Genomic DNA, 22,546 nt, shown 5'->3' with positions numbered 1-22,546 from the left:
TTGGATGTAACTGGAGGCCATTATTCTAAGTGAAGTAACTCAGGAATAGAAAACCAAACACCATATGTTCTCACTTATATATGAGAGCTAAGCTATGGGTATGCAAAGGCAGACAGAGCGGTATAATGGACTTTGGAGACTCAGAAAGGGGAGGATGGGAGGGAAATGCAAGATTAAAAACTGCATATTGGGTACAATGCACACTACTCGGGAGACAGGTGTACTAAGATCTCAGATTTCACCACTATACAATTCAGCCAGGTAATCCAAAACCACTTGTACCCCAAAACTATTGAAATAAAAATATTTTTTAAAAATAAAATATTAAATGTCCTGAAATATTACTAATGCTGCATCTATAAAAATCATTAACATTTCAATATATAAAATAACCATTTGCTTAATACAAAGCAAGAACCTGACAAAGCCCTTTCACACTCTACGGTTGTTTGTCTCTTGTCTCAATATCTGATTTATCTAACCTGGGCACTGTCAGACAGACTCATGCAGAAAACAGACTTTTTTTTTTTTGGAGACAAGATCTCACTCTGTCGCCCTGGCTGGAGTACAGTGGCATGATCTCGGCTCACTGCAGCTTCTGCCTCCCGGGTTCAAGTGGTTCTTGTGCCTCAGCCTCTCGAGTAGCTGGGATTACAGGCGTGCGCCACCAGGACCGGCTAATTTTTTGTGTGTTTTTAGTAGAGACAGGGTTTCGCCATGTTGGCCAGGCTGGTCTCAAACTCTTGACCTCAGGTGATCCGCCCACCTCAACCTCCCAAAGTGCTGCTGGGATTACAGGCATGAGCTACCTCGCCCAGCCCAGAAAACTTTAAAGACACCCTGATCCTTACTTTGAAGTCAAAATCCCACTAGATTGTGTATAAAATTGTGGGTTGTAGCTCCGTCAATGCAGGGCTTCAAGACGGCTTGATGGAAAAACCTCCTTTTAGGTGAGTTTTCACCAATGGAGGCTTTCAACTACCAATGTAAAGTCGTCAGGGAGGTGCTAGAAGGTCACACTCTTAGCGTGTTTGATTGGTGGTCTTCCACCTAGCGTCCCAACCCCTCTCCCTGTGTGAATGAGGGAGAAATATGCTTTATGCATTTGGTGACTTGGCAAATCTGGGGGAGAGGAGTGAGCTGATTTAGGTGACTTAGACCCTTGGTCATGGGGCAGACACGTGGGGATCAATTTCCTCATTTAAGTTATATTCTTCTCAGAAATCATTGCAGCATGTCTTTAATACAATACATTTCTCCAAAACAAATATTTACTGACTGAAGTTGTCTTCATAGCCATGGCAACTCTCGCTAGTGTTTTATACACATACATATATGTGTATATATGTACATATTGATACACACATACAGAGGCATACACATTTATGTGTGTGTGTGTATATATATGTATATATGTATATATATGTATATATATATGTGTGTGTATATATATATATATATATATATATATATATATATATATATGCAGGTAGCTGAAAGACTGATGTATGACCTCTAAGCTATACCTGTGGGCTGCTAACCTCAACATTTTGGATCGTCTTTTTTTATCTCTCCAGAAAGAAAAGGGATAGCAAATTGTTTGTTTAGATTCTTGAGTGTAATTGAATAATGTATCTCCCCCCCGATCTGTTCCCAGGCAGAAGTGTTGCAATATCAAAGCCTGAATCCAATTCCCGGGTTGTCACTCTTCATGTTTTCACCTGTCCACATTGTTGTATGTCACAGAAGGGAAATAGACCCTTCCAGAAAGACAAGTGGCCTGTGAGCTTTGGTGCCAAGAATGTGTTGGAAACCTTAGAAAAGTAATGAGTGCGGTGAGCCATACTCCTGTTCCCCACCTGCCCTGGACCGTTTGTGCCATTTGTTGCTACTGTACTTGCTGTCCTGTTTAAACTGCAGCAGAACGATAGTCTTTGACTAGGGCTGGCTGCAGAATTTGATGCGGGGGTCCAGGGTGGTCTCTGCAATTGGGTTGTTAGACATGAGCCTGGAGGGTCCTTTGCTCTGTCTTTTCGGTCGGTTTGGTCTGGACCATGTGATGCCATCTACAAAATCCCAGGGTGTTTTTAGCTGGTAAAATGAAAGAATTTTAGCACTGGACTGGCCGTAATGGGCATTCCCGGGGCTGTTTTACCCAGTGGCCAGCAGCTTCTGCTTCAATACATACAGCAGGAGCTCACTGCCTTTCTTCCCCACTGGCCAGCGCACAGGGCTGGCCTCCTGGTCAAGCGACCTGTACAGGTGCACAGGACTTGCACCCAGAAGGCTCCCACACTTGGTTTAATGGTCCGCTGTTGCTGTCTTGAAATTCTTAATAATTCTTGAGCAAGGAGGCCCTGCATTTTCATTTTGCACTGCGCCCCATAAATTATGTAGCTTGTGCTGCCAGCACATTTAAAGCTACCTTCACCCATCAACCACACACAGGATGTTTGTACAAACATTCAGTCATTACCTGCCTCCAGACCCCACCCTGCCCTCGCTTCCTGCTCTGCTCCAGGTGCTGACTTCCAACCCTGGGCTTTTCCACCTGCTTCCAGCCTCATTTGACTTAACCTGCCTTGACCCTTGAGATTTGAAGTCTGAACCTGGCTTCTCTAATTTGACCCTTAAACGTCAAACGCCTCAGTGGTTGCAGGCTCTAGTCTTGGTTTTTCCCACTTGTCACCACTTAGAATGAATTCAAAGCCCAACTCAGCTCTGATCTCCAGACGCTTAACAGAGACGGGCCTCAGCCCCAGGAGATTAGTCAGCTGATTCTATATACAGAGAGTTATTTTGGGCTTTTGTTAAAAGTACACTGAGCCAAACATCTGCTTCCCTATAGTTCCTACACATTACCTGGTAAATGTGGTAGAGTGCTAGTTACTGAGTCAGCAAGTAAACAGATGCGAAAAATAAACATACTGAAATTAAGCATGTTTGTTATAGATATTAAACCACCTCCCTCTCCAGTTAAAATATCCAAATGATTCTTCCAGTCATCCTTCACACATCTCTACACAACTAGCTCAGCCTCACACTCCCAGATCAACTACCTCCATCAGATATCCCAACACCCAGGCGCCCTGTTCACGCATTCTCAGTCCACCCCTGACTTCCATTCAGACAGGTCTGCTCATGGCTCTTCATCCCATCCTCTTCTCTGTCCCCATGACCCCTCCCAGATAGCCACCAGGCCTGCCATGTCATTTCATGGTGACAAGTCTTCCTAAGCATCTTCTGTTGCGGGGTTCTGCTTTCGTGCCTCTCCCGCCGTCAGCATCCCCTGTGCCCCATGCTCTGAATTTTTCTGGGCTCTTGCACAGTGATGTTTATTCTGACTATTGCTGTGCCTGGGCCACCTCAGTTACAGTCCCCCCGAGACAGAACTGCAGCCACCTCCAGCACCGCCCTTGTCTCCTGGGTTATCTCTTTTGATCTTCCTAGACCTGCTCATACCAATTCTTAGACTCATTGGTAGCACAACCCTTCAAAGGGACACCTTTGAGTGTGTGTGTGTGTGTGCGCGCGCTTGCGCATGTATATGTGTGTTCATGTATGTGTGTTTATGTGCATGGGTGAATGTGTGTATGTGAGTTTGTGTGTGTGCGCAGATACATGCATGTGTGTGAACAAGGATCATTTCACTCTTACTGAGAGTGTTAATTTCATTATAGGAACTAGCCTTGTACATCAACACATACCTGACATCTGTGCTCTGATGTCACTTTCAGCCCAGTACTATATGAGTTCAATGACAGCATCTCCAAACTGCCTTGTCTCATATTTGAACCCAAGCCCTTGGCCATTCTTGTTTTCCACAGCAGTGTGCATTAACCTAGTGGTTGCCAAACCCAGCAGCCCAGTAGACTCAGGTGGGGAGTGTTTTTCAATGTATTTCCTATGGTAGCAACTCAGAGCTGCGGAATCTGAGTCTCTGCGAGACGGGCCCTGAAATCCTCATATTTCCAAAGCTCTGCAGACTGAACCTAATTTGGAAAGTCTAAGAGCAAACCACCTCCACCCAGACATAAAGCTAATAAATGCACCTTACATGGGCATCGGGTGCATAACCCTGCATTAGGTAGGTAAGTATTATTATCTCAATTTCATAGTTGAAATAACCGAGGCCCCGGGAGACCATGCGACCTGTCTGAGAGAGAACGCAGCCAGGACTCTGCAAGTTTGCCTCCCTGAGGCCACTCTCCCCACCGTCCATGGGACTGCTCCTGCAGTGTGTGAAGTCAGATCTAGGGTCCTCCTTGTGTGCCACATCCTAAACCATAACCCTGGAAGCGGCTTGGGCACAAGGGCACATCCAGACAGCATCTGCTGGGACCTGCCTCTAAAATCCCCCAGCTCCCTTACCCTGTCTACTCTGTTTATTCTGCACAGACCCGTCATGGAACTACTGGGTGGGCATTTGTTCACGTGTCCATCACCTGCTACGCTTGGGGCTCCCTGAGATGGTTGGGGTGCTGTGGAATGTGTACTGGTCTCCGATGGATGTGGAAGAGATCTGGGTGTGACTCTTAGTTTGGCCAGTCTATGAGTTTGCTAGAGCTGCCTTAACAGAGAACCACCAACTGGGTGGCTTCAATTACAGAACGTATGTCTCACAGTTCTGGAGGCCAGAAGTACGAGATCAAGATGTGGGCAGGGTGGGCTCCTTCTGAGGGAGTGAGGGATTTGTTCTACACCCCTCTCCTGGCCTCTGGTGTTTCGCTGGTCATCCTTGGCATTCCTTGATGGCCTGGAGAGCATCACTCTGATTTCTGCCTTCATCTTCACGTGGAATTCTCCCTGTGTACGTGTCTGTATCCAAATTTCCTCTTTTTATAAGGACACCAAACATATTGGAGAGGGGCCACCCTAATGACCACGTTTTAACTTGATTACCTCTGTAAAGACCCTGTCTTTCAATAAGGACACTTTCTGAGGTACTGGGGGACCTCAATATATCTTTTGGGGGACACAAACTCATAAGAGCAAGCATCTTGTTTTATGAATTGGAGCAAGTCACTGAACCTCATAGAATCAGTTTATTCATCCGTGAAACAGGGATTTAAAAATACCCACTGTGCAGGCTTCTTTCTTAATAACTGTTAGAAGATTAGATAAGGCACAAAAATGTTTTTTCAAAGCAAGGTAGAGAACAGTGAGGTTAGTTACTACAATCGAGGTTAAAAGAGGTGGGGCAACTCTCCATCCACTAACACCCACTCCCGCCCTGTGAGTGCGTGTGTGTGTGTGTGTGCGTGTGTGTGTGTGTGTACCATACACTGTGATTGTCCGGATCATCAGAGCCTCAGGCAGATTCTAACAGAAACCACATACCAAACAGACATGATTATTCCCAAATGCTGACTTCAAATTTTCACTCACATGAAGGGTATATCATCACTCAAATCAAGAATTAGGCACCGTTGTTGCTGTTAAATAGGCCTTATCTTTAGTTCAGCATGTTTCCTAAACTTATCACAGACACATTAAAAGCACAGATCCCCCTCCCCAGGGATTCAGGCTCCTTTGGTCTGGGTAGGGCCCGAGGGATCTGCATTTGAGCAAGCTCCTGGCGTGAGTCTTATTGGACAAGCCTGGAACAGGGCTGCCCTGATCACAGTAGGACCGGATTTCTCACCCTGCCTCCTCTGCGGCTCATCAGCCAGTTCCAGTCACTGGACCTGGGAGGGGCCTCCATTTCCTCACCTTTAACCCTGTGCCTGATTTTGAGTCTTGAGCTTTCCAGGTCCTTTCGAGCCATAAAATGCCACCTCTTTGCTTGTGGATTTGGAATTCTCTGCATTATAATAAGCTCCTTGAACTACCTCTGACATCTTTTGCCATATATTTTCCCATCGTCTGGAGGGTTGGGGGCCTCTTTACTCAGTGGGTTTCCAGCCAAGCTGACCTGCCCACTGCGGTTGACAGCATGTGTGGAGAAGAGCAGCAGACCAGGGGAACCAGCTCAGAGCAGAACACCCTCAGTGCAGTCTTTTCTGTCTACAGCAGGGAGGGACGGTCTTGTTCCTGGCCTCCAGGGTAAGTCTGCAGACCAGCTGGGGGCCTGTTTGGCTTAGGCTTACCTTTTAACATGGCCACGCTGTGAATCACTGCTGTGAAACAATGACTGGTCATTTAAATGCCCTTGGCACACTCAGCAGTCTAGGATGAACAAATTGTTTTGTTGATTTAGTTTTGTTAGAGAAAGGAGAGAGAGAAATAAAGAGAGAGAGAGAGACCCTAATACATTGCTGGTGGAAATGTAAAGTGGTGCAGCTAGTAGGGAAAACGGTCTGGCAATTCCTCAAAATGTTAAACATACAGAGGTGTGGCCCAGCATTTCCACTCCTAGTTCTATTACTCAAGAGAAATGAAAGCGCATATCTACACAGAAACTTGTACACTCATGTTTATAGCAGCATTATTCACAATGGCCAAAAGGAAGAAGCAACCATTGACAGAGGAATGGATAAGCAAGTTGTGGTTTACGCACACCATGGAATATCATGTAGCCACAAAAAAGGGATGAAGTATTATACATGCTATGACTTGGATGCACCTGGAAAATGTGCTAGGTGAAAGAAGCCCGACACAAAAAGAACACATGTTCCGTGATTCCTTTTATATGAAATATCCAGAACAGGCAAATCTACAGAGGTAGAAAGCAGATTTGTGATTGTCAGGGACGGGGGGAGGGGGAAATGGGAGTGACTGCTTAATGGGTACCAGATGTTATTCTGGGAGATGAAAAGGTTTTGAAACTAGAGAGGTGGTGATTGCACGACATTGCGAGTGCACTAAATACCACTGAATTGTGCACTTTATAATAGTTCATGGTATGTTATGTCAATTGCGCATCAATAAAAAGAGAGAGAGAAAAGGGTAAGGGAGAGTCTGGTAGAGGGAAGAGAGGAAAAATGAGAAAGAGAAGAGAAGCAATATTATTAGGCCTGGCATGTGAATTTTTTTATTTTTAAAGGATAATGTGACCATTGAGTCACTGAAATGGAACAGAGCACTCCTCTGATTACAGTGACCACTGACCTCCTATGAGGGGTGGAAGCTCTGTGGCTTCCTTTTCGCCAGCAGCAGTCTTCGATACCGCAAGTCACAAGATGTGGCACCAGCATTATATCTTTGGGTCGACTGGGGGAGGCCCCTCCGGCAGTCTCTCAATCAAACATCTCCAGCTCAGAGGACTCTGCTCTGAGATTAAACCACACAAGGTTCTTTCAGCCCGGGGTCTGGGTAAGGGGTCTGGGCAACCACTTCGGGGCTCAGTGGGCATGTGGGGTACACAGGGAAACGTGAGCCCATCTGGGCTGCAGATTCACTAGGACACTCGGATGGACTGTTTTCGTTAGCTCTCAAATGTGCAAATCATGCTTTTCCTGGTGCTTGGCAGGGCAAAGGCTTGGATTTTTTTTTAAAAAGACAACCTGATGGAGATTGGAGCTGGACAGCAAAGAAGACACATTAGTTGGCCAGTCTAGAGAATGCATTCGGAAGGGTTTCAGCACAAGTCCTCTGCTGTTGAGGTTTGCAGCCCTTGCATTGGGTGCCTTTCAGATAGTCTGGACAAAGGCCTCTGGTAGAGCTGACTGCCTATAACAAAATCACTTCAGAATGAGTATGGAGTTCTACAAAATTCACTGTCTCAAGTCAGACCTGCATGGACTCTAAATGACTGATCTTGGCTGCTTGCCTAGACATCTACCTCCAGGACCACCCTGTTAGCAGTTTGGTGTCTACTTGTGGGTTCCAGCCACCAATCACAGCATCGTCCTTCACTGATGGCTGCTTCCCACATCTCTGCCTAAATCTATGTCCCACTCCGAGGCACTCAGCACTGATGCTGATCATTCCTAAATGCAGATTCTAGAGCGACAGTCGCGCAGAATCTCAGATAAGTTATTATTAATAGAAAAGAATTCAATGTGACACCTAGCATACATAGGCTTTGCCACAGTCAGAACAAAGGTCTTGCAGCACATCCGAGGCTTCCCAACACGCAGATGCTCTCTTGGAGCCCTGAGGAAGCTTCCAGAGCTGTGCCGTTTGCTTGCACCCGGGCAGATCCAGATGGCAGCTGATCACTGCAGGGCTCTGTGATCTGTGCGCCAGCTGGTCCGCTCGCTCGGGCAGTTCAAACGGTGCTCTGTGTTTCAGGAGGGACACCCAGGAGGTCACCTTCTTAGCTTTACAGCCACCTGGTGGATCCCTGCTGGAGTGTCCTCCTCAGCGTTGGGCATGGGGGCGGGTGGTGGTCCCTGAAGGACTCTATCCATAGAGCCCTCTTTAGAAGTCTCCACCGCGCTGAGATGTGCCAATGCAAGACTCACAGTCCCCTTAGATTCCTGTTATGATTGCTGTTCTCTTCTTATTTAAATATTTTCACAAACGACTTTGTTGTTTTCCAGCCTAAGACTTTCAGTAAAGCAGACTATCTTTTAATCTAATAACTCAAATTAAGTGAACATTTTAATTTTCATTTAAAAATTTAAATTTTGTTTAAAATTAAATGAAAACCAAATAATATTTACTTTTAAACAAATCAGTGCAGCATGGTTATGAGCCTCAAGTCCTGACCTGCTTCCCCCGGTCTCCCCCTCCCGGAAATGGTAGTCCTGCCTGAATACCGTTTGCCCATCCAAGGGAATCTGTGCCAGATTATGTCTCCAGGGCTGGAGTTTATAGCTCTCCATCACATGGTGTGGCAACTCATGCTTCTTAATCAGAGCATCAAATGAATGAGTCAATGTGGGCTTGCTTTTATTTTCACAAACTGTCTCCCGAGTCAGGCCTGCTCTGAGCTTCGGGGCCTTTCCCTGGCTCCACTCCAATAACTTGAGTAATTTCCTGTGCTGAGGGCCCTTGTGTGCTGAGACTTCTTCTCACATGAGCCACTAGCTTAGATCCTGAACCTATTTCCAGAGTGCTCATTACAGGCGCTTTGGAAGGAGGTCCGAGCTTTGGAATAGGAGACTGAAGTTCTGGCTTGAATTTTGGCTTTGCCCCGAGTAGCTGTGTGACACTGCACAGGTTAATTAACTTCTCTGAGTTTCCATTCCTGCATCTGTAAAACAGGAATCACAAACAGGATGCCAACAGAGGGATGAGCTCAGGCCTCAGAGTCGGACAAAGCTGCATTCAGATGCCAGCTCTGCAGATTGCTAGCTTCGGAATCCCACCAGAGCCTCCGTGGATGGGAGAGCCGATATCTGCCTTCTGGAGTTCTTGTAGAAAGTAAAAGAGATGATGTATGTACCATGCCTGGCACATGGTTAGGCACTGAGGAAATGTTTTTGAAGACTACAAAATAAGGATAAAACACACGATATGTCTACCTCCGTGGATATTTGAAAGGATCACATTAATATACGTGAAAATACACTGTAAACTATAAAATAGTATAAATGTTATTATTTGGATTCTTTTTCTCTCAGATCATTTTACTCTATTTACTCTTTCCAACTTCTTATTTAGAAAATTTTGGCCAGGCGCGGTGGCTCATGCCTGTAATCCCAGCACTTTGGGAGGCCGAGGCAGGCAGATCACGAGGTCAAGAGATCGAGACCTTCCTGGCCAACATGGTGAAACCCCGTCTCTACTAAAAATACAAAAATTAGCTGGGCGTGGTGGTGTGTGCCTGTAGTCCCAGCTACTCGGGAGGCTGAGGCAGGAGAATCGCCTGAACCCAGGAGGCGGAGGTTGCAGTGAGCCGAGATCATGCACTCCAGCCTGGGCAACAGAGTGAGACTCTGTCTCAAAAAATAAATAAATAAATAAAACATAAAATAAAAATTTCATAGCTGAAAAAAGTTGGACTAGTAAACACCCGAATATCCTTTTCCTAGATTCACCAATTATTAATAGTTGCTTCTTTGCTTGCTGTATCTCTATCTCTATTTAGGTACCTATCATCTATGTATAATTTGTTTAAGCATTTGAAAGTAAGTTGCAGATATCATGAGTCGACCCTAAGTACTTCAGCATGTGTCTCTTGAGAATAACAGCATTCTCCTATAGAACAAAGTACTATTATTACCATATTAGTAGGCTTGGGCTGCTATACCAAAATGCCATAGACTGGGTGACCTCAACAGCACACACTTATTTCTCAAAATTCCAGAGGTTGAAGGTGTAATAAGATCAAGGTGTCAGCTGATTCAGTTCCTGGTGAGGGCCCCCTTCCTGGCTTACAGATTGCAAATGGCTGTTGTTGTCGTCGTCGTCGTCTTCGTCGTCGTCGTCGTCGTCGTCGTCGTCGTCGTCGTCGTCGTCTTCTTCTTCTTCTTCTTCTTCTTCTTCTTCTTCTTCTTCTTCTTCTTCTTCTTCTTCTCTCTTCTTCTTCTTCTTCTCTCTTCTTCTTCCTCTTCTTCTTCCTCTTCTTCTTCTATTATTATACTTTAAGTTCTGGAGTACATGTGCAGAATGTGCGGGTTTGTTACATAGGTATACACATGCCATGGTGGTTTGCTGCACCCATCAACCTGTCATCTACATTAGGTATTTCTCCTGATGCTATCCCTCCACTAGCACCCCCGACAGGCCCCGGTGTGTGATGTTCCCCTCCCTATGTCCATGTGTTCTCATTGTTCAGCTCTCACTTATGAGTGAGAACATGTGGTGTTTGGTTTTCTGTTCTTATGTTAGTTTGCTGAGAATGGATGGTTTCCAGCTTCATCCATGTCCCTGCAAAGGCCATGAACTCATTCTTTTTTATGGCTGCATAGTATTCAATGGTGTATATGTGTCACATTGTCTTTATTTAGTCTATCATTGATGGGCATTTGGGTTGGTTTCAAGTCTTTGCTATTGTGAACAGTGCTGCAATAAACATATGTGTGCATGTGTCTTTATAGTAGAACAATTTAAAAATATGGAACGCTTCAGGAATTTGCGTGTCATCCTTGCACAAGGACCGTGCTAATCTTCTCTGTATCCTTCCAATTTTAGTATATGTGCTGCCAAAGCAAGCACATTTTTTGTTTGTTTGTTTGTTTGTTTGTTTGTTTGTTTTTGAGATGGAGTCTTGCTCCGTAACCCAGGCTCAAGTGCCGTGGCGCAATTTTGGCTCACTGCAGCTTCCACCTCCTGGGTTCAAGCGATCCTCCTGCCTCAGCCTCCTGAGTAGCTGGGATTACAGATGTGCGCCACCACACCCGGCTAATTTTTGTGTATTTAGTACAGATGGGGTTTCAGCATGTTAGCTAGGCTGGTCTCAAACTCATGACCTCAAGTGATCCACCTGCCTCAGCCTCCCAAAGTGCTGGGATTACAGGCAAGAGCCACCGCACCCAGTCAGCTGTCTTCTCACTATGTCTTCACGTGGTGGAGACAGAGAGAAAGCTCTGACATCTCTTCCTCTGTTTATGGGGACACTAATCCCATCACAAGAGTCCTGCCCCTTATGACCTCATCTAAATATATTTCCCTCCCAAAGGTCTCATCTCCAAATACCAATACACTACACTACACTCCCACAACATATGCATTGTGAGAGAACGCAAACGTTCAGTTCATAATAATTACCAACAACTTTAACATCAATACAGTAATATTATCTAATACACAGATATTCAAATTTTATACTCAGTATTCAAATTTTAAATATTCAAATTTTAAATTCAATATTCAATTTCATATATTCTATACTCAAATTTTATTTTGATTGCATGTTGAAATGAGAATACATTGATTACGTTGGGTCAAAATACATTATTAAAAATTAGTTTCACCTGTCTTGTCACTTTTTCATGTGGCTTTAAAAATATTAAAATTCCACTTTTGCCTGCATTACATTTCTATTGTTCATCACTGCTCAGAATATTCCCTGTCACATTTTGTTGTTGTTTGTGACATGGACATTTTTTAGTCCAAGCCAATTATCTTGTGGAAGGCTCTACAATATGGCTTTGTCTGTTTCCTTTTGACTAGATTCTGGTTAAATCTTTCTGACAAGGATATAATCAAAGTGATGTTGAGACTTGGCATCAGAGGCTCACTGTGTGAGTTTGCCCCATTGTTGGGAATGCAAAGTTTTACTACTTGGTTAAAGTGGCCTCTGCCACATGTAAAGATTCTTTTTTCCCTCTATCGGGGTGGTCTTTTGAAACCGTATGAGCATCCTGCTCCTACTTACTCAGTGGTTTTAGCATCTGCATCTAATGATGCTTGTTGCCTGTATCAATCATACATTAGTGATTGCAAAAATCACAGGTGTCTTAACTTTTCATTTTAACTCATTGGCTTGACTGTTTTCTAGTTTTTCATGCTAATACATGATATGAGCAATTTGCTGCTTTTTTGTTTTTTGGAGACAGTTTCCCTCTGTCATCCAGCCTGGAGTGTAGCAGCACCACCTCTGCTTCTCGCCTCCTGGGTTCAAGCAATTCTCATGCCTCAGCCTCCCGAATAGCTGGGATTACAGGCACGTGCCATCACGCCTGGCTAATTTTTTATTTTTAGTGGAAACGGGGTTTCAACATGTTGGCCAGGCTGTTCTCGAACTCCTGACCTCAAGTGATCTGCCTCCCTCAGCCTCCCAAAGTGTTGGGATTACAGGCGTGAGCCACCACACCTGGCCCAATTTGCTACTTTCTAAGTCTTATCAATTTATTTTACGGGCTGCATAGCATTCTGTTGTATAAAATGTAGAATACGATATAGTTGAATCTCTGTTGATGATTATTTACATGTTTTCTAATTTTTTGCCATTAAAAATATTGATTCTATGAACATCCTTGTACACTGTCCACCCAGTCATTTCCTGCCTTGAAATATATCCCTAAAAATGGTATTATTGAGTATGCTCAGTTAAATTTTTGACACATATAGTCAGATTGCCCTCCAGAAATATATCACACAGTTCACACTGCCAGTGAATCAGCCAGGATGCTTTCAGCTGCAAAGGAACAACAATCTCAACACAGATTGGCTTCCGTAATAAAGACATTTGTTTTCTCATAGAAGCCAGAACTCCAAATGAAAGGTGCTACCATAAACTCCATTTTCTCCTCAATTTCATTTTTTAAGAAAAACACTAGCTGTACTGTAACCCATTAAACAGACTTCATGATTCACCAGGGGATCATGACCTACAATTTGAAAAACACTGCTTTGAAATACTCAAGTTGCTCTCTGGAACTGGAGATAGGTGGCTACCCGAACAAATTCTGACTTTTGTTAGGAGTGGAGGAATGGATGTTCATCACCTTATCTATTTATCTACACGGATGGCAGAGAAAACCGTTCCCCAGGCCCTTCTCACCCTGCGCATAATTTGGCTCCCCAATCTTTGCCAGTCTAATAAGTGAATTCACCATCTCTGTTTTTAAAATTTCATCTATATAACAGTGAGATTTCATGGATAAACAATATTGTATATTGCCAGGCTCTGGTAAGAGGCCTGCCTGGATTCATAATCTGGAAACTTCACTTATCACCTGTGTGACTTAGAGCAAGTTACTTAGCCTCTCTGTGCCTCTGTTTTTCATCTCTAGAAGAAGGATAATAATATCTACCTCAGAGATTTGTTATGATCATTAAAAGAGATAACTTGGGCTGGGGTGCAGTGGCTCATGCCTGTAATCCCAGCACTTTGGGAGGCCAAGGTGGGTGGATCACCTGAGTTCAGGAGTTTGAGACTAGCCTGGCCAACATGGTGAAACCCCGTCTCTACTAAAAATACAAAAAATTAGCCGGGCATGGCGGCACACACCTGTAATCTCAGCTACTCGGGAGGCTGAGACAGGAGAATCGCTTGAACCCAGGAGGCGGAGGTTGCAGTGAGCGGAGATCACACCGTTGCACTCCAGGCTGGGTGTCTTGAAAAAAAAAAAAAAGGTGGGGAGGGGATAGTTTTTATAACGTGCTTAGCACCCTTTCTGAAAATGTGTTTTGGAAAAACTTTTTTTTCATTTATAGGTTTCTGTTGCTCTATTAGGATGATGTCTGAATTTGAACCCACCACACGAGGGAAAAGAAGTCGACAGAGACTTGAGCTGTGCCGAAACAACTGTGTCCTGATTTCCCCAGGCCCTACACAGCTCATGGTATACGGAATGCAAGGGAAGAACTGCTTGCAGGCCACAGGGTGGACAAGGCCCTGGAGCTCTGCGAAACCAGGAAGGCACCATGGATGGCTCTGGCTTCCAGAAGTTTAATAGGAAAAAAAAGGCAAACAAACATTAAGACAGAAAATGCATGCAGCATATAGCGCCCACAGCTCCTTTTTCTTGGCGTGCCCCTGGTCCCTGCAGCCACTTGGCCAAGTGCAGTGTCTGTCTTCCTTCAGGTCCTCTATTGGTGTGCACTTCTCGAGCCTAGGGCCACGTCTTTCCATCTTTGGACAAATGCCAGTGCCTTTTCTGACACATTGTAAGTGCTGAATAGATAGTAAATGGCTGACTGAACAAATGCAACTTACAACTATATAATGGAAGATGTGGAAGTAATCGGGGTGTAGTTTTTTTTTTTCTTGGATTATCCGTTTTCTCTCTGGGATCCATGGTGGTTTATATACAAAATCTCAAGGTCAATGTCTCCTTAGTTGGGGAGCCTAAGTAGGAAAAATAGGAAATGGCTAAAGCATTAAGAAAAAGATAAAGAAGTGTTACATGTCCTTATGAAAACACAGACACTGTAGAGAGAAAGTCTGCAGGACCCTAATGAGCTAACTGCAAAGGGGTTATAAATTCTACATGGTGTCTATCTGCAAGCCAGGGCCACCTCAAGGTCTAAGACCCTTGACGTTGCTGTCATATGAATGTGTGAAGATAGGTTTCAATTGAGATTGATTAGAAAAGGTATCTTGCCCCAATCGAAAATTGGACAAATGATAAGAGCAGGTAAATCACAGGAGACACAAATGCCCCCAGAAGCTGTAAAATGCTAGATTGACGCCAATCACCCAGACAGTGTTGTAACTGTCATCATCAGTTTTGTGACAGGTGAACAAGATTATTTGAAATCGTGGTTGGAATTATAATAATAGCTAACATTTATAGTGTTGTCTGTCCCTGTCAACCTCTTTCCCCTGGTGTGACTTTATCCCGCTATAACAACAGAAATTCATAAATGAAAAAAAAATTGTTTTCTGAAATGCATTTACTGTTAAGCACCTCGTACTAGTTACCTCTTTTAATATTCATCTGTAAGGTAGATATTATTATTCCCATTTTAGAAATGCTGACCCAGATGCACAGAGAGGTTAAGTAACTTGCTCAAAGACACATAGCTGAGTAATGGTTGCAGAGTATAAATTCAGGACGATCTCTCCCAAGAGACTGCACTGTACAATATTGCTTGCCAATGAACTCTCACAGGCAGATGAAATAAAAAGGCAGGTATTTTCTGAAAAGCAAGCCCATTCTATAGTGTTAACTCAAAGTCTGGAGTTGTTCCCCAGATTGGTGATACCAGTTTTAGGGTAGTGGTGATGATGCTGAAATTTCCAGGGACCTTAAAACACACTTGGGAGTTGGGGGAGCCATTTTTTCAACCTCCATTGTAGGAGATAATCAAATCTTAGTCATCTCTTGTGTGTGACTAATACCCATTGCCAGGGCTGTTCCATTCTGCCGCAGAAGCCACTGTAATGACTAAGCCATCAAGATGGATTTTTTCCTGATGACATTTGCTGCACAGGACTAAATTCTATTAAGCCAGCCTTTTCGAGTCTGGATCTGGAGGAGTCATTGTATCACTGTCTTTGAAAATTAGGCTAAAGGGGGTGGTATCTATTAATATACCGAGGCTCTAGTTTCCCTCCTCCTAGGATGCCTGACCTCTCCGGCCCATTCCTGTCTCTTTCTTACTGAACCTGCTGTGCCTGTATTGTGGGAGCCAGCATGACCTCATCGCCCTGAGCATGGGAGTGTTGGGCTGGGCCAGGGCCCTCTCAGTGCCCTCCCAGGCAGAGCCTCCACCCTGGGTTTTACAATTACTCAGGGGCCACAGAATGTGGATGGTGCTAAATTAACGCAGCAAACCAGAAAAAAAAAAAGCAAGGACCCACCATTCAATACACCAATGCTTTTATTTTAAAGCAGACACTAACTGAGGCCGTTTCTGACTTTGACATCCTATAATTACGATCCTGAGAAACATTTATTTAGACAACAACATAAATTAATTGATGACTTCTCTTGTTACTTATACCTCACAAAGGTCAGAGATACAGAGCCAAGAACAATTATCTTGTCACTAACTTAAATTCTTTTGAGTTCTAATTATTGGGGTATTTAGCCTCTTCCCAACTAAAACGCCAACCTTTTCCCCAGCTTCTGAGAATAAAGAAAATCTGATTCACTCCCCTGCTTAAAACCCGTGAGTCCCTTCATCTCCAGGGTGAAAGCCGATCCTTTTCTCATGGAATAGTCCTTCATTATCCATTCCCTGCCTACCTCTTTAACCTTACCTTTTATTATTTTTTTAAATCGACAGATAATATTGGATGTATTTATCATGTACAGCATGATTTTTTTCTTTGTTTGTTTGTTTGTTTTGAGACAGGGTCTTGCTCTGTTGCCCAGGCTGGAGTGCAGTGGCGCGATCTCGGCTCACTGCAAGCTCCGCCTCCCGGGTTCACGCCATTCTCCTGCCTCAGCCTCCCGAGTAGCTGGGACTACAGGCGCCCGCCACCACGCCCGCTATGTTTTTGTATTTTTAGTAGAGGCGGGGTTTCACCGTGTTAGCCAGGATGGTCTCGATCTCCTGACCTCGTGATCTGCCCGCCTCAGCCTCCCAGAGTGCTGGGATTACAAGCCAGCATGATGTTTTGAAGTATATCTTTCAACATCACTCACCTCTGTCCCCAGGTAAGTCTCAGCCAAATGGCACCATCCCACCAAGCTCTCTCTGTCTCTTGGTGGTCCCAGGCCATCCGCTTGGCCTTGAAACACCCCCTCCCGACCCTGACCTGTCCACCCTTACCTGGCTGACTCTTCTTGCTTCTGTCCCAGTTAAGACATCATTTCCTCCTGGAAGCTTTCCCCACTTTCTCCAAATGCCCACATATGTGGGTGCCACTGCTGCAAATTCCCACAGAAGAGCTCAGCAGCTGTCATGGTGGATTATAATGCCTCCTGGATTTGTCTGCCTTTCTCATCAACTGTAAATCCTTGAGAGCAAGGGCTGTGTTATCTTCACTGTCATAGTCCTAATACCCAGCCATTTTGTCTGGCACACAGCAGAAGCTTCATAAATATTTGTGGCTGAATGTTATTCATGCCCATATGATTTTTTACATTTTTTGCGATTTGGAATGTAGCTATCCGTTCTCTTTTTAAACTCCCTGCCACTTACTGAAAACAACCAAGTGACTCATAGTTTCTCCCACTCCAAGCTGATGCCTACTCATGCCATCCAGAGGGCAGTCCCCACCCGCCCAGCCCTTCAACACACACTCTGAGCCAAGCCTCCATCATACTGCGCTAGAACTTGAATGCCACATTGAGGGGTTGGATTTTATTCAACAAGAAGGGTGAGTCAGTGGAAGTTTGTTTAGGACCAGGGAGTGTGCAATTACAGCCAATATGAATGTTTCTGTGAGGTGCAGAATAGATTGCGAGAGGAAGGGAGTCTGGTTAGGGAACTGTGACCGTGAGCAATGTAAATTAGGCTACTGAGGAAAGTATGGAGAGGAGGGACCGGATTTGAACTGAGAGGCAGGACTTGGCAATTGACTACATGTGGGGGCAAAAGAAAGAGGCTCAATGTTGATTTCAAACTCTTAGGTCTAGAAAACGGGAAGGTAGGTGACACCACTAACAGAAGTAGAGATCACTGGATGGATTGTGTGGAGGTGCTTGGTTTTGCTTATTTGGAGAGAAGAGGAATGTATTGATGTGCTAGCAGAGTTTTCAAGTTCTAAAGATCAATTATTCAAATAAAATTAGAGATATCATTTATGAGCAGGCACAGTGGCTCACACCTGTAATCCTAACATTTTGGGAGGCCAAGTCAGGCAGATCACTGAGGTCAGGAGTTCGAGAGCAGCTTAGCCAATATGGTGAAACCCCATCTCTACTAAAAACACAAAAATTAGCCAGGTATGGTGGTATGTGCCTGTAATTCCTGCTACCCAGGAGGCTGAGGCAGGAGAATTGCTGGAACCCAGGAGGTGGAGGCCGCAGTGAGCGGAGATTATGCCACTGCACTCCAGCCTGGGTGACAGACCAAGACTCCATCTCAAAAAAAAAAAAAAGATATCATTTATTAAGTGAATACTCTGAACCAATCATTTCACAAAATTAACATCTAAATGCTTACTACAACACCAAGAGGTGGATTCTATGATTCTCCCCATTCTATGGATAAGGAAATGGAGGCTGAAGTCACGTGACCACATTCACACAGCTGTTCTGAGTGGCAGAGATGGGATTCAGCCCAGGCTCTGTGACCCAGTGTCTTCAGTATGTGGGACTGAGGCTCGAGAGACAGCTTGGAGGTCCCTATAGACTTCAGTGTGGTCCGCATTAGGAAGTTAAAGCACTGAGATGGGACGAGGCTGTCAAGGGAGAAAACGTGCAGAGGAAAGTTGAGAACCATGTATAGAAATGGAAGACTAAGAGTGAGCAGGCAAAGGGAAGAAGAGGAGCCCGAGGTAGAAAGTAAGCAGGGGCAGCCCAGAAGAGGAAGTGGGTAAAGCATCCTGGAATAGGATGGAAACAGGTTTTAGGAGAAAGTGATGAGTGTCACCTGCTGTAGAGAGATGTCAAGAAGGGAAAGTCCTTTAAGGCCATGGGTGTGTTTATTATTTATTGTTTGTCGATCGATCCAGCTAATAATCAGTATGTTTGCCTCCTTAATGTTCTAGGGCATCTACAGTGCAGAAAGCAGAGAAATGTCAAGGAACCAATCTGGGTAACATCAGCAGCACCGGTAGAATTATACCTAGAACGAGCACAGAAAGATAGAGGGAAATTTGTGCTGCGGTTTCCATGCTTCAAATATGCCAAGCTGTGATGTGGCAAATATAATCATTAACGCTGCTTGAAACCCACAGGGATCACTCCCGCATAGCTAAAGCCTCAGTATTGCTTTCGGCTTGAACTCACAACCTGAAACAGCCTTGAATCTAGTATACTGTGGCCCCTAAGATCATTTGCCAATGGTCCAGATCTTATTTCAAGCTCCTCTTTCAAGCACCAGACGACCTGGAGTATGGCCATTTCCAGAACTAGCTGGAACTATTTTTCATCTAGGACCATTCAAATAAGTCTTTAATGCAATTATCAGAATTTACAAACTCGGATCATTCTCTTCTACTTTGCCAATTGCTAAGTAATCTTTTGAGGTTCTAAAACTCAGGGACTTTAAGATGATCTCTGCTGACACTGGAAAAGGAGAGGTCTCTTTCCTCGTCCTTGGCTAAATAATAGATGAACTGGCATCTAAGTTGCTAAAACTGAACTCCCATTAGAGACTTAAATGGCCTCAAAGTGTGTGTCCTGGAGAGAAGAGGCAGGACATACTGGGAGTCTTGAGGAATTATAGAAAGTTGAAACTAAAGAATATCAAAAACTGTCTAGCTTAAGCCCTCATTTCACAGATGAGCAAAAAAGAGGCTTAGAAATATTAAGGGCTTTGCTCTAGTCTCAGAGCTGGTTAATACCAGTACTAGGACTAGAACTAAGTCTCTTAAACATTTAATCCGGTTCCTTTTCCACAATACTATTCAGAAAACAAACATTCATTGATCTGCAGATGTTCGTCCTCTTGCGTTCCAGCATTGTTGCAGCTAATGCCACTTACCGTCTCCGTGAGCATATATTTGTGCCTCAGGCAAGAGAGAAGGGAGGCTGACAGACAAGTTCTTCAAATTATATTGAATGAAGACCTAAAGAGTTTCCTAAGAGGTAATATGAGCTCTGAGGAAAGACCACTTGGGCTTTGGAATTATTCACTCTTGGTTTTAATCCTGGCTTCATCATTGTCTAATTTGTGACACTGAGCAAGTTATATCTTAAACTCTGTATTAGTTTTCTATTGCTGTTGTATGAAATTACCGCAAACCTAGTGGCTTAAAACATCACAGATTTATTCTCTTACAGTTGTGGAAAAGGCCCGAAATGTGTCTTGCAGGCTACAGCAAGGTGTCAGCAGGGCAGGCTCCTTCAGGTGTCTCTAAGGATGAATTGTTTTCCTGCCTTTTCCAGCTTCTGAAGGTCACCTGCATTCCTGGGCTCATGGCCCCTTCCTCGCATCACTCTAACCTCTTGCTTCTGTTGTCACATCTCCCACTACTGACTTTGACCTTCTTGATTCCCTCTTTATTTATTTACTTAAAAAAATTTCTTTTAGAAACAGAGTCTCACTCTGTTACCCAAGCTGGAGTGCAGTGGTGCAATCATAGCTCACTGCAGCCTGGGCTCAAGTGATCCTCCTGCCTTGGCCTCCCACAGTGCTGGGATTACAGGCGTGAGCCACCACACCTGGCCTTGACTCTTTCTTTTTTTTTTTTTTTTTTTTTTTGAGATGGAGTCTCGCTCTGTCACCCAGGCTGGAGTGCAGTGGCCCAATCTCGGCTCACTGCAACCTCTGCTTCCTGGGTTCAAGCGTTTCTCTTGCCTCAGCTTCCCATGTAGCTGGGACTACAGGCATGTGCCACCACACCTGGCTAATTTTTGTATTTTTAGTAGAGATGGGTTTTCGCCATGTTGGTCAGGCTGACCTCGAACTCCTGACGTCAGGCGATCGGCCCGTCTTGGCCTCCCAAAGTGCTAGGATTACACAGGTGAGCCAACCACACCCGGCCTTGACTCCTTTTATAAGGGATTACATGTGATTACAGTGGACCCACCCAGCTAACCCAGTATAAATAAGCTCCCATCTCAAGATGTTTAACTTAATCACATTGACAAAGTTTTTCTTTGTTGTTGTTGTTTTTTTTTCCACGTATATTCACAGCTCCTGGTGATTAGGATATGGACATTTTTGCGGGTCATTATTCTATTTTCCACAAACTCTATGAGGCTCAAAGATAAGTCTGGAGCTAACAATTCCCATCTAGGGCTGAGTGCAGTGGCTCACACCTGTAATCCCAATACTTTGGGATGTTGAGGCAAGAGGATCGCTTCAGCTCAGGAGTTCGAGACCAGCCTGGGCAACATAGTGAGACTCTATCTCTGCAAAAAAAAATTTTTTAAGTAGCTGGGTGTGACGTGCACACCTGTGGTCCCAGTTACTTGGGAGGCTGAGGCAGGAGGATCACTTGAGCTCCGGAGGTCGAGGCTGCAGTGAGATATGATTGCACCACTGCCCTCCAGCTTGGATGGCAGAGCAAGACCCTGTCTCGAAAAAGAATTCCCTCCCATCTAATAGTGCTTGGACATCACTTCTTATAAGACTTTCTTGGGACCCCAAAATCAGGTTAGGGTCTCCTCCTATGTGTTCCCATCACCTTCTGGGGTCACCTCTTACTGGAGCCCTTATAAAACCGCATTACAGTTACTTGATTATGATTACATCTTCCACACTAGTCTTTTTAACTCCAGAGAGTAGGGACTGTGCCTTATTTATTTTTGTATCTCCTGCCCCCAACATGGTGTCTGGCACTTGGTAGTTGCTTAATAAATATCTGTTGTCATGAGGACCAAAAAAGACCAAGTAAAATGCCCAATGGGGCCAGGCACAGTTGCTCAAGCCTGTAATCCCAGCACATTGGGGGGCCGAGGCGGGTGGATCACCTGAGGTCAGGAGTTCAAGACCAGCCTGGCCAACCTGGTGAAACCCCGTCTCTACTAAAAATACAAAAATTAGCCAGGCATGCTGGCAGGTGCCTGTAATCCCAGCTACTCTGGAGGCTGAGGCAGGAGAATCGTTTGAACCCAGGAGGCAGAGGTTGCAGTGAGCTGAGATTGCACTATTGCACTCCAGCCTAGGCGACTAGAGTGAAACTCCATCTCAAAAAAAAAAAAAAAAAATGCCCAATGGTACCTGGCTCAAATAGGTATTCAATAGATGGTGAATGGTGAATCCTTTTGCTAACACCCATTATTGCCAAAAAAAAGTAGGAGAATTTCTCTTTTCTTTTTATTTTACTTTAAGTTCCAGGATACATGTGCAGAATGTGCAGGTTTGTTACATAGGTATACATTTACCATGGTGGTTTACTGCACTTATCAACCCATCACCTAGGTTTTAAGCCCCGCATGCATTAGGTATTTGTCATAATGCTCTCCCTTTCCTTACCTCCCCACACCCTGACAGGCCCCAGTGTGTGACATTCCCCTCCCTGTGTCCCTGTGTTCTTATTGTTCAACTCCCACTTATGAGTGAGAACGTGTGGTGTTCGGTTTTCTGTTCCTGTGTTAGTTTGTTGAGAATGATGGTTTCCAGCTTCATCCATGTCCCTGCAAAGGACATGAACTCATTCTTTTTTATGGCTGCATAGTATTCCATGGTGTATATGTGTCACATTTTCTTTATCCAGTCTATCATTGATAGGCATTTGGGTTGGTTCTAAGTCTTTGCTATCATAAATAGTCCTGCAATAAACATATGTGTGCATGTATCTTTATAGCAGAATGAT

The 22,546-nt window shown here is 44.4% G+C and overlaps 2 long non-coding RNA genes and 1 pseudogene across 8 annotated transcripts in view, besides 3 other annotated features; 1 reads left to right on the top strand and 2 right to left on the bottom strand.

Annotated features, from left to right (window-relative positions):
* LINC02768 (long intergenic non-protein coding RNA 2768) overlaps window positions 1-15,370 on the top strand; it is a 61,478-nt gene extending 46,108 nt beyond the window's left edge. Inside the window, exon 3 of the long non-coding RNA NR_183724.1 lies at window positions 13,936-15,370. This is a non-coding gene — a long non-coding RNA (long intergenic non-protein coding RNA 2768). The remainder of the gene's footprint in view (window positions 1-13,935) is intronic.
* The window catches only part of LOC105373215 (uncharacterized), a 66,658-nt gene that overhangs the window by 32,539 nt on the left and 11,573 nt on the right, over window positions 1-22,546 (bottom strand). The window contains exon 3 of one of the 7 annotated variants that reach the window (XR_001738544.2): window positions 14,155-14,569. The exons of the other annotated variants lie outside the window; for them this stretch is intronic. This is a non-coding gene — a long non-coding RNA (uncharacterized LOC105373215). Of the gene's footprint in view, window positions 1-14,154; window positions 14,570-22,546 lie in introns of those variants that run through there. 7 annotated transcript variants of the gene reach the window in all.
* Window positions 2,731-2,780: an enhancer, noted in NCBI's record as "active region_2808". NCBI's record gives its function as "activates an Ori minimal core promoter by ATAC-STARR-seq in GM12878 lymphoblastoid cells {active_cell/tissue: GM12878}" and the evidence as "EXISTENCE:reporter gene assay evidence [ECO:0000049][PMID:35858748]".
* Window positions 7,676-8,175: an enhancer, noted in NCBI's record as "H3K4me1 hESC enhancer chr1:236081529-236082028 (GRCh37/hg19 assembly coordinates)". NCBI's record gives its function as "activates a minimal SCP1, AML or CMV promoter by ChIP-STARR-seq in naive H9 embryonic stem cells {active_cell/tissue: H9 hESC(naive)}" and the evidence as "EXISTENCE:reporter gene assay evidence [ECO:0000049][PMID:30033119]".
* Window positions 10,883-10,989, bottom strand: RNU6-968P (RNA, U6 small nuclear 968, pseudogene; annotated as a pseudogene).
* Window positions 15,199-16,398: an enhancer, noted in NCBI's record as "CDK7 strongly-dependent group 2 enhancer chr1:236073306-236074505 (GRCh37/hg19 assembly coordinates)". NCBI's record gives its function as "activates an origin of replication core promoter dependent on BRD2, BRD4, P300/CBP, MED14 and CDK7 cofactors, with strong dependence on CDK7, by STARR-seq in HCT116 cells {active_cell/tissue: HCT116}" and the evidence as "EXISTENCE:reporter gene assay evidence [ECO:0000049][PMID:35650434]".

The sequence above is a fragment of the Homo sapiens genome, chromosome 1 (assembly GCF_000001405.40).
Source record: "Homo sapiens chromosome 1, GRCh38.p14 Primary Assembly".
Taxonomy (NCBI): Eukaryota; Metazoa; Chordata; class Mammalia; order Primates; family Hominidae; genus Homo; species Homo sapiens.
Note: the sequence above shows the minus strand (reverse complement) of the source record. Positions and strands in the feature narration are given on the sequence as shown.